The sequence below is a fragment of the Homo sapiens genome, chromosome 2 (genome assembly GCF_000001405.40).
Source record: "Homo sapiens chromosome 2, GRCh38.p14 Primary Assembly".
Taxonomy (NCBI): domain Eukaryota; kingdom Metazoa; phylum Chordata; class Mammalia; order Primates; family Hominidae; genus Homo; species Homo sapiens.
In genome coordinates this window covers 195,931,297-195,943,733 of record NC_000002.12, presented here as the reverse complement: position 1 = coordinate 195,943,733, position 12,437 = coordinate 195,931,297, and the positions used below count along the sequence as shown (strand labels likewise).

Here is a 12,437-nt window from a genome sequence, read left to right as displayed (position 1 = left end):
ACCAGAACTATCTTCATCAAACTGGGATACATGGCTAATGTAGCTATAAATGAAGAAGTCATGATGGCAGTGGTGGGAATTATGGAAGGAATTACTATCGGAGACTACCCCTCACCAACACTGCTGGGTGCACTCAAGCTGCCAACAGCAGAAATTAACATAATGCTTCTGATACAGCACTCATTTAGAGGGAATTGAATATTACATTGGCCCTCTTTCAATATGGAAGCCAGCAGTGTTGTGTCTGCACGAAATGAATTTTTGTTTTCCCACAGCAAGTTTCTGCCAATACTGTCATTCATTGACTTACTGAATGACTTACTCATTATCACAGTTTCCACACAACATTGCATATGCTAAGGAACTCACCTTATAAGGGAAATAAGACAGTTGACTGACATCGGTAATAGTAAAGGTCCTACTATGAATATTGACCTTAAACAAAGTGAATTGGCTTATATTGAAGATTAATTTGCTCTATCTGTGTATGTTCGTCTGTTCTCATGCTGCTAATAAAGACATGCCTGAGACCAGGTAATTTACAAAGGAAAGAGGTTTAATTGACTTACAGTTCCACATGGCTGGGGAGGCCTCACAATCATGGTGGAAAGTAAATGAGAAGCAAAGTCACATCTTACATGGTGGCAAGCAAGAGAGCATGTGCAGGGGAACTCCCCTTTATAAAACCATCAGATCTCATGAGACTTATTCACTATCATGAGAACAGCACAGGAAAAACCCACCCCGATGATTCAATTACCTCCCACCAGGTCCCTCCTATGACACACAGGGGTTATTACAATTCAAGGTGAGATTTGGGTGGGGACAACAAACCATATCACTGTTGGAAGGTGATGGGAGTTTGGGCTGCAGTTCTAGAGTGTACATGGTATATGTTCTCTGTCCACTCCAGGGATATGATTTCTCTCATAGGTAGAGTACATGGATCTGGGAATTAAAGAGTAAAAATAGAAGTGACATGTCTCACCAATTAACCATGTAATCTGCTAACAACAATTTTGCTTCTCAACTTTTGGCTTTTCTAGATGAAATCTAGTAGAGATTATCCTAACTAGATTAAGTAATCTCAGTGTCCAGGGAAGAAATACTTCTATATGAGGGACATATTAATGATTTCATTAAATGGGAAGTTCTTGATCTGCTCATTCCACGCTTTTACCTCTCTGTCTTTATAACTTTTCACTGTACTTACTCTATTCCAGCCACACTGGCTATCTCCTCTTCTTCCTCCTTCCTCCTCCTCTTCCTCTTCTTCCTTTTTCCTCTTCCTCCTCTTCATCTTCTTCCTTCTTCCTCTTCCTCCTCTTCATCTTCTTCCTTCTTCCTCTTCTCCTTCTCCTTCTTTTGCTTCCTCCCCACCCTTCCTTCTTCTCAAATAACAAACACACTGTATCCGAGGGCGTTTGCACTGGTTGGACCCTCTTCTGGAATGTGCTACCTCTAAATATCTGCGGTGTTAATGCTTTGCTTTCTTGATATATTTTCTCAAATATTACCTTTATAAAGAGGCTCACATCGAACATCCTATTTGAAATTAACCCACCTTTGACTTTTTTGGCACTTCTTATCACTTCTTTCTGTTTTGTAGCATCTATCATCTACCTTACTATATAATTTATCAATATGATGTTTGTTATTTATTGTCTGTCTCCCCCATGGAGGCTGGGATCTTTGTTTTGTCCACTGTTGTCACCCAAGCACTGAGAAAGGTCACTAACGTGTATTAGCCCTTGGTAAATGTTTGTTAAATGAGTAATAATTGAGATTGATGCTTGAATTATTGTTAATTCTAAGATTCTGAGTTTACTCTGGAAAACTTCTGAAAACTCAATTTTAGGCAAATGGGCCCTGAGATTTAGGTTAATCCTAGAAATACATTGAATCTAAATGAAAGAGTTTCTGCTCCTGATGAAGTCAAGGACTCTTAAAATTGTAAGAGGTTTTAAGTTCTACTCTGTCAACCTACATTTCCTTTCTTGAAGTGCAAAAGGTTTAATGAGGATCTTATCAATTTTCTGTTGTCCAGGGATTTTGCATTAGGAAATTTATGCTCCCAGAAATTTACCAGGCAGGCTTGAGCTTAATTCCATTAAGTATACAAAACTGCATTATCTCTTTTTTTATTTTTTATTATTTTTTATTTTACTTTAAGTTTGGGGATACATGTGCAGAACACGCAGGTTTGTTACCTTCGTATACATATGTCATGGTGGTTTGCTGCACCTATCAACCTGTCATCTAGGTTTTTTTTTTTTTTTTTTGTCATCTAGGTTCTAGGTTTTAAGCCCTGCATGCATTAGGTGTTTGTCCTAATGCTCTCCCTCCTCTTGCCCCCCAACCCCCGACAGGCCCCAGTGTGTGATATTTCCCTCCCTGTGTCCATGTGTTCTCATTGTTCAACTCCCGTTTATGAGTGAGAACATGCAGTGTTTGGTTTTCTGTTCCTGTGTTAGTTTGCTGAGAATGATGGCTTCCAGCTTCATCTATGTCCCCGCAAAGGACATGAACTCATTTTTTAAATGGCTGCATAGTATTCCATGGTGTATATGTGCCACATTTTCTTTATTCAGTCTATCATTGATGGGCATTTGGGTTGGTTCCAAGTCTTTGCTATTGTGAATAGTACCGCAATAAACATACGTGTGCTTGTGGCTTTATGGTAGAATGATTTATAATCCTTTGGGTATATACCTAGTAATGGGATTGCTGGGTCAAATGGTATTTCTGATCCTAGATCTTTGAGGAATCGCCACACTGTCTTCCACAATGGTTGAACTAATTTACACTCCCACCAACAGTGTAAAAGCGTTCCTATTTCTCCACATCTTCTCCAGCATCTGTTGTTTCCTGACTTTTTAATGATTGGCATTCTAACTGGCATGAGATGGTATCTCATTGTGGTTTTGATTTGCATTTCTCTAATAACAAGTGATGATGAGCTTTTTTTCATAGGTTTGTTGGCCACATAAATGTCTTCTTTTGAGAAGTGTGTGTTTATATCCTTCACCCACTTTTTGATGGGGTTGGTTTTTTTTTTAATTGGCTTAAGTTCCTTGTAGATTCTGGATATTAGCCCTTTGTCAGATGGATAGATTGCAAAAATGTTCTCCCATTCTGTAGGTTGCCTGTTCACTCTGATGATAGTTTATTTTGCTGTGCAGAAGCTCTTTAGTTTAATTATATCCCATTTGTCAATTTTGGCTTGTGTTGCCATTGCTTTTGGTGTTTTAGCCAATGAAGTCTTTGCCCATGCCTGTATCCTGAATGGTATTGCCTAGGTTTTCTTTTTCTAGGGTTTTTATGGTTTTAAGTTTTACAATTAAGTCTTTAACCAATCTTGAGTTAATTTTTGTGTAAGGTGTAAGGAAGGGGTCCAGTTTCTGTTTTCTGCATGTGGCTAGCCAGTTTTCTCAGCACCATTTGTTAAATAGGGATTTTTTTCCCAATTGCTTGTTTTTATCAGGTTTGTCAAAGATCAGATGGTTGTAGATGTGTGGTGTGATTTCTGAGGTCTCTGTTCTGTTCCATTGGTCTATATATCTGTTTTGGTACCAGTACCATGCTGTTTTGGTTACTGTAGCCTTGTAGTATAGTTTGAAGTCAGGTAGCATGATGCCTCCAGCTTTGTTCTTTTTGCTTAGGATTGTTTTGGCTATAAGGGCTCTTTTCTGGTTCCATGTGAAATTTAAAGTAGTTTCTTCTAATTCTGCAAAGAAAGTCAGTGGTAGCTTGAGGGGAATAGCATTGAATCTATAAATTACTTTGGGCAGTATGGCCAGTTTCATGATATTGATCCTTCCTATCCATGAGCATGGAATTTTTTTCCATTTGTTTGTGTTCTCTCTTATTTCTTTGAGCAGTGACAAAACCGTATTTTCTATGAAACTTCCTAGTAGCAGAAATGAGAAAGCTCTCTATATACTCAATGTTTCGGGCCCCTGATATCACATTCATTTGGTTTAGAAATGTAAACCTAGTAGATCATCACTAGAGCTGATGAGATTGGTGGGTGGTTGTGAAGTAAAAGAAGACACTTAAAAATTGTCAGTCAGTGTTCTTTTAACCAAAAAAATGACAATTAATAATTCAATTCTTCCCCTTTAGGAGACAGAAAGTAATTAAAGTGTCAAAGAAGTCATACTAAGATTCAAATTTCTAGTAGCTTCCTGTTACAACATCTTATTGCTATGTTCTGAGGACATAGCTATGAAGTACCAGCCTTCTGTGACATGGAGGCTTGTACATTCCTTGAGTTTCCCTGTATGAGCCCAAGTGCAGTTCATCCTGCATTTGCTGAAGCACTCAACATGGAATGGTGACTCTGTACCAGGATTTGATGGCGATTCTTAGAGGAATTTAAAGTCAGTGTTATTTTACTATGATAAATACCTTTCTTGAAGGATGGAAGATTATAAAATGTTCATTTTAACTCCATAAAACATGGAGTGATGTAAATGCTTCATTTTCCCCTTTCCCCAGAGTCAATCCTTCCCCACCTGCACTCTTTCTAACAGACAATTTTGGGGTGAGGAGAAGGAAAGGGGGAGTAAAAGGGTCGCTTCAAGTGTCTGTGTGTTTTAGACACCATATTAGTCACTTCAAATACATTATCTAATTTAGTCCTCATACCGATTTTGAGAGAGGGCTTTTATCCCCATTTTCAAGATAATAAAAAAGGGACTCAGATTAAGCAGATGATCTAAGGTCGCACAGGTAGTGGGGAATAGAGTGTGGACAGACACCAAGTCTGTTCAACTTGGGCCCCTTTCTTTATCTGATACAGTCTTTATTATGTTTGTCTTCTCACTGGGAGAGAGTAAAGGTAGTTGAGTTGCCAGTCATAAGATGATTACTTTTATTTTAAAATCTTAAATCCATATACAAAGATACATAGATTATTGCCTGTGTTCATTTAAAAGTAGCATATTTGGTTCAGAGTTATTAAGCTAATCTGGTTAAATAGGTTTGACCCTGGAAATTCAATAATAAAAAAAGTTTACCTGAATGCTCTTTCCATGGTTTGTTGTTGTTTGTTTGTTATTTTGGCAATTATAATATTTAGCAAATGGAATATACTGGTTTAAATAACTGAGTTTTTAGCTTTCAAATCTTAGATTAAGAATGGAAACATTGCAATAATTTTTTTGGTTGAGAATAACAAATACTGTTCATGTGTGAAAGGAGTTTTTTACATTTATTAGCCACAATTCAGCTTTTTTCCCCAAACAAATACAGGCATACTTTTCCAGAAGGTGGCACTCTAAGAACATTATTTTGATATTTGGATTTAGGCGAACATGATGGCCTGAGTCTGTTATGCTGTGTGTGTTTGTGTGTGTGTGTGTGTGTGTGTGTGTGTGTGTGTGTGAATGTCTATTTGAAACATAAAACAAGAAGCATAATAAAATTCCTTTTAAAAATTATGCACCTTTAAAGATAAATTGATCTAATTATATTATATGATTTATATATTCATGTTTTATTGAGGAAACAAGTAATGATAATTATTTTCTTTGATTAAATTGCTGTTTCCAAATTGCATTGTTGTAATCCAAAAAAAGCAAAAATTGTATCTTTCCTTTTCAGACACATTCAAAGTATGTTCACAAAAACATACTTTAGAGACTCCTGCAATTGAATAAAATTCCTATAGGAAAAAATTTACTGGTTACATTTTTGGTTATCTCTCAGTCATGGCTAAATACCAAAAATATCTAATTAGTTAATCTTGAAATTTAGTATTTAGTTTTTAACAATATTCTCTTGATTTAATTTCATATAAATTTCCTAAAATGCCCTGTTACATTAATAAATGTCTGGTGTATTTTCATGAGGTGTGCTACTTGGCGATTGAAATCTCTGTTGTGTTAGCACCTTTTTTGTTTTTTCAACACCTTCAAGCTTATTAAGTAAAGAACTTTCCTTACATTGTCAATGATGTCAGTGGTGAACACTGACTTTGGAATTATAAGACCAAGAATAGACCCAGATGACATCAACCATGTGTTAAAGAAAAAAAAGTAAAAAGAATTCTATTTCAACTATATCTAGGCTGTATTTTTATATGTATTTCTAAAGATTTTCATAAACTTGGTGGTTACTGTATAGATATTTTGAGAAATCAATAAACTCTATTTACTTTTTTTAAAAAATATGAGTTCTTTAAGATCAGCTTTTGGTTATAATTCTTATTTTGAATACACAGGATAAAAGAAAGCTCTTTTAAAAATATTTGATTGTGTTTGAATCACTTTAAAGCAAACAGCTCACAGTGACACTTTCAAGTGAGAATGTTCACCATGCCTTAAAGGTGGAACAGTCTGTCTCTAGAGAGTTCAGGAAGAGCACACCTTGAACTTCAGTCCTTCAGCAAGAAGTGTTATAAAGTAGTTTCAAGGGTCATTGTTTACAATGTAAGATCTTCTTAGAAAGCTTTCTTCCTCATTTCCTCAACCCTTACTTTTTTCTCTGTAGTTATAAAACAGGGATTCTGTTATGTTATTATTATTCATAACAATAAAATTCAAAATAATAATTATAATGATGACTTATTGTTTAGAATTCTTTTCCTCAAAGAATAAAATACAAAAGAAAATATCTCATACCAGTTTGTTTCCACTGTCCTTCTTGTGAGTTCAGGCAGTGTTCTCTCTCTCTCATTTTCTGTTTCTTACACTTCTCAACTTAGAATGAGAATCGTTATGAACAGGGCTGAGGATTAAATCAATGTGACTTTTACAGAATCAGAGAGGCCAAGTAGACCTAGAATATGCAAGACTACTTTTAAAAAACAAATACTCCCCTTAAAATTTACATAACCTTTGTTTGATTACAAACATATAATCTCAAATATAATATGAATATAAATAGAGTTAGTATCTAATATTTTTGAATTGAGTGTTTTTTATTTTTATTTTTAGGATAAACATGTTCTGACAGTTGTAACCATTGACAGAATGCTGGAAAGGCTGAAAAAATCTAATGAACTTTTGGAGCTCATTCTTAAAGGACTTAATGAATATTTGGAAAAGAAACGCCTCTTTTTCCCCAGATTCTTTTTTTTGTCCAATGATGAACTTCTTGAGATACTATCTGAGACTAAAGATCCCACTAGGTAAGTAATTTACATGTAGAATACATGACTAAATTTATCTGCTTAAACTTAATTTTTAGAACAAAGTAGAACATAAATATATATAATCATGTTTATATAATATTTTTTCTACAAGAATGTTCCAAGTATTATATAATCAACTTTGGATAATTATTAAAAATGTAACTAGTATCACTGAATGAACCGTGGAATCGTTTTCTTTTTTTGTTTGTTTTTTTGTTTTTGAGATGGAGTTTCACTCTTGTTTCCCAGGCTGGAGTGCAATGGCGCGACCTTGGCTCACTGCAACCTCCGCCTCCCAGGTTCAAGTGATTCTTCTGCCTCAGCTTCCCGAGTAGCTGGGATTACAGGCGTGCGCCACCATGCCCAGCTAATTTTGGTATTTTTAGTAGGGACAGGGTTTCACCATGTTGGCCAGGCTGGTCTTGAACTCCTGATCTCAAGTGATCCACCTGCCTCGGCCTCCCAAAGTGCTGGGATTACAGGCGTGAGCCACCGTGCCTGGCCAGATTTCTTAACTTATCACATCTTACAGATTTTTCAGAACACAGCTCTTTCACAGCACATTCAGAATAAAAGCCACTGCTCTCATGATGGTTTGCAATGCCCCACACAGATTATCCTTCCCCTGTTATCCTTCCTATTCATCTCCTACTAGTCTTCTTGCTCACTCTGCATGCAGCCCACCAACCTTTTTGCAATTCCCCGGTAAAAGGGGCAGCCTCCTTTCTCAGTGTACTGTTCTCTTGCCTGGGATGCTCCTTACCCAAATGTTCATCATACTTCTTCCTTTACCTCCTATAAGTCTTAGTGGAAATCTGGTTAAACATCTGTCATTCAGGGAGGCCCTCCCTGACCACCATATTTAAAGAGGCAGCTCCCTCCATGCTCAACTTGCCCTCTTTCCTGGACTTATTTTCCTTGCCTCATTTTCCTTCTGCATAGTTGTTATCATCTGGCATACTCTGTAATTTACTTATTTGTTAATGGCATGTCTTCCTCTAGCGGAATATAAGCTCCACCATGGTAGAGATTTTTTGACTGTTTTTTTCCCACTGCTGATTCCCCAATCTTTAGAAGAGCATCTGATATAAACAGTGAATAGATACTTGTTAAACAAATGTGTTAATTTTGTTAACTTGTGCCTTCAAAGTAGGGGATATGTAATCTAAACAAAAGGTAAATTTAGGCTCAGATTTCTATCTGAGTTTTTATACTTTGCTTCTTTTTGTCCATTTGAAAGATGAATGCAACGGGTTATTGGTAGTGTGCCAAAAATGAGTTGTGTCAGTCCCATCTGTATTACATTGAATAGACTAATAGTTGGATACTGTCAACGCAGTTGATTTAGTAAACTGTAAAGTACCTAAGTTACTAAACATAGTCCACAATTTTCAAGCAGTCTCTGAAGAACCCAGTTGAAATGGCTACTTTTGTGCATTTGAAGATTCTTCAGATTCATGTATTTATCTGTTAGTCAAGATTGGTTTTCTCCTTATGTTACCTTTAGCATCTTTTAATTCATTGTATTGAAGACAAAGCCTCGTGGTTGTCTCTGTAGCTCTTACTATAATTGTAATTTTACAGATGTTTTGTGATTATTCAGTTAATACTGACATCTCAATGGACTATATAATGCATGTAGGCAGAGCTTGTGTTTTTTGTTTGTTTGTTTTGGGGGTTTCCGGTTTTTGCACAGCATTTCATTCCCAGCAGCACCTAGCATTTATGAACTTTAAACGAAGAACTCTGGAGTGTAAAGAATTGTTTTAACTTGGTTAATTATCTTAAAAATGTTTTTCCTGACAGGGTGCAACCTCACTTGAAGAAATGTTTTGAAGGAATCGCAAAGGTAGAATTTACGGAAACTTTAGACATTACTCACATGAAGAGCAGCGAAGGAGAGGTTGTAGAACTCATAGAGATTATTTCAACAGCCAAAGCCAGAGGTCAAGTGGAGAAGTGGTTGGTTGAATTAGAGAGAGTTATGATTAACTCCATCCACAAGGTAGCTGATTATACTGATGATTTTTAGAAAAGGATGCTAGAATATGAATGTTATTAGAAATATTCTGTTGATAAATGTACTGTTATTTAAACAGAAATGGAGGCATGGAATTACCAATTCAAATGTGATAGATAACTTGAAGGCAAAGAGATGTTCTATGATAGTAATTTTGTAGTGACTCACTGGAAAAGTGGGACAAAATACCATCCATACTACAAAACACTTGGGTTTGAATAATGCATCTGCTCATTTCTTGTGGCCACATGCTAGTGCTTTCATCATTAATTAGATACACTTTGTTCTATGCAGTCTCTCTTTAGTCTTGCCTTGGAAGCACCTCTCTACATGATCACATCAATCTCCTCGACATGTATGAATCTTTTTTTCGGTGTATATATGAAATGCATACAAAATGTTAGAAAATAATGTATGCTTCCTACAATTAATAACAACTTCATATTTTCCACATTTCATGAAACATACTGTGAGCTCAATCATTTGTGATTACTTTTGTTGGTAGAGAATTTCAAGGCACACCAATAAATAAAGATTGAGCACTCAGTTTTTTTTTTTACTGTAGTGTGAGCTTAGCATTCAAGTTTTTAGTCAAGAATAAAAATCATGATGGAGCAAAGGAACAGAAGGGAGTATAACTAATTAATTAATTTTAAATTTTTATTTTTTATTTGTTACTATACTTTAAGTTTTAGGGTACATGTGCACAACGTGCAGGTTTGTTACATTTGTATACATGTGCCATGTTGGTGTGCTGCACCCATTAACTTGTCATTTAACATTAGGTATATCTCCTAATGCTATCCCTCCCCCCACCCCCCACCCCACAACAGGCCCCGGTGTGTGATGTTCCCCTTCCTGTGTCCATGTGTTCTCATTGTTCAATTCCCACCTATGAGTGAGAACATGCGGTGTTTGGTTTTTTGTCTTTGTGTTAGTTTGCTGAGAATGATGGTTTCCAGCTTCATCCATGTCCCTACAAAGGACATGAACTCATCCTTTTCTATGGCTGCATAGTATTCCATAGTGTATATGTGCCACATTTTCTTAATCCAGTCTATCACTGATGGACATTTGGGTTGGCTCCAAGTCTTTGCTATTGTGAATAGTGCTGCAATAAACATACATGTGCATATGTCTTTATAGCAGCATGATTTATAATCCTTTAGGTATAGACCCAGTAATGGGATGGCTGGGTCAAATGGTATTTCTAGTTCTAGATCCCTGAGGAATCGCCACACTGACTTTCACAATGGTTGAACTAGTTTACAGTCCCGCCAACAGTGTAAGTGTTCCTATTTCTCCACATCCTCTCCAGCACCTGTTGTTTCCTGACTTTTTAATGATCGCCATTCTAACTGGTGTGAGATGGTATCTCATTGTGGTTTTGATTTGCATTTCTCTGATGGCCAGTGATGATGAGCATTTTTTCATGTGTCTTTTGAAGAAGTTGAATCTCTGAATAGACCAATAACAGCCTCTGAAATTGAGGCAATAATTAATAGCTTACCAACCAAAAAAAGTCCAGGACCAGATGGATTCACAGCTGAATTCTACCAGAGGTACAAGGAGGAGCTGGTACCATTCCTTCTGAAACTATTCCAATCAATAGAAAAAGAGGGAATCTTCCCTAACTCATTTTATGAGGCCAGCATCATCCTGCTACCAAAGCCTGGCAGAGACACAGCAAAAAAAGAGAATTTTAGACCAATATCCCTGATGAACATCGATGCAAAAATCCTCAATAAAATACTGGCAAACCGAATCCAGCAGCACATCAAAAAGCTTATCCACCACAATCAAGTGGGCTTCATCCCTGGGATGCAAGGCTGGTTCGACACACACAAATAAATAAATGTAATCCAGCATATAAACAGAACCAACGACAAAAACCACATGATTATCTCAATAGATGCAGAAAAGGCCTTTGACAAAATTCAACAACACTTCATTCTAAAAACTCTCAATAAATTAGGTATTGATGGGATGTATATCATCCCATCAATAAGAGCTCTCTATGACAAACCCACAGCCAGTATCATACTGAATGGGCAAAAACTAGAAGCATTCCCTTTGAAAACTGGCACAAGACAGGGATGCCGTCTCTCACCACTCCTATTCAACATAGTGTTGGAAGTTCTGGCCAGGGCAATCAGGCATAAGGACATAAAGGGTATTCAAGTAGGAAAAGAGGAAGTCAAACTGTCTCTGCTGCAGATGACATGATTGTATATCTAGAAAACCCCACTGTCTCAGCCCAAAATCTCCTTAAGCTGATAAGCAACTTCAGAAAAGTCTCAGGATACAAAATCAATGTGCAAAAATCACAAGCATTCTTATACACCAACAACAGACAGAGAGCCAAATCATGAGTGAATTCCCATTCACAATTGCTTCAAAGAGAGTACAATACCTAGGAATCCAACTTAGAAGGGATGTGAAGGACCTCTTCAAGGAGAACTACAAACCACTGCTCAATGAAATAAAAGAGGATACAAACAAATGGAAGAACATTCCATGCTCATGGGTAGGAATAATCAATATCATGAAAATGGCCATACTGCCCAAGGTAATTTATAGATTCAATGCCATCCCCATCAAAGTACCAATGACTTTCTTCACAGAATTGGAAAAAACTACTTTAAAGTTCATATGGAACCAAAAAAGAGCCCACATTGCCAAGTCAATCCTAAGCCAAAAGAACAAAGCTGGAGGCATCAAGCTACCTGACTTCAAACTATACTACAAGGCTACAGTAACCAAAACAGCATGGCACTGTTACCAAAACAGAGATGTAGACCAATGTAACAGAACAGAGCCCTCAGAAATAATGCCACATATTTACAACTATCTGATCTTTGACAAACCTGACAAAAACAAGAAATTGGGAAAGGATTCCCTATTTAATAAATGGTGCTGGGAAAACTGGCTAGCCATATGTAGAAAGCTGAAACTGGATCCCTTCCTTACACCTTATACAAAAATTAATTCAAGATGGATTAAAGACTTAAATGTTAGACCTAAAACCATAAAAACCCTAGAAGAAAACCTAGGCAATACCATTCAGGACATAGGCATGGGCAAGGACTTCATGTCTAAAACACCAAAAGCAATGGCAACAAAAGCCAAAATTGACAAATGGGATCTCATTAAACTAAAGAGCTTCTGCACAGCAAAAGAAACTACCATCAGAGTGAACAGGCAACCTACAGAATGGGAGAAAATTTTCGCAACCTACTCATCTGACAAAGGCCTAATATCCAGAATCTACAATGAACT

At 36.7% G+C, this 12,437-nt stretch overlaps 1 protein-coding gene across 11 annotated transcripts in view; it reads left to right on the top strand.

Annotated features, from left to right (window-relative positions):
* DNAH7 (dynein axonemal heavy chain 7) overlaps positions 1–12,437 on the top strand; it is a 331,135-nt gene that overhangs the window by 125,104 nt on the left and 193,594 nt on the right. For all 11 annotated transcript variants that reach the window (XR_922968.4, XM_011511488.4, XM_017004504.3 and 8 more), the window contains 2 exons: positions 6,942–7,135; positions 8,945–9,143. Coding sequence is in view for 10 of the 11 variants with exons in the window: in XM_011511488.4 (XP_011509790.1) it covers positions 6,942–7,135; positions 8,945–9,143 (393 nt within the window). In the remaining variant the exon portion in view is untranslated. The remainder of the gene's footprint in view (positions 1–6,941; positions 7,136–8,944; positions 9,144–12,437) is intronic.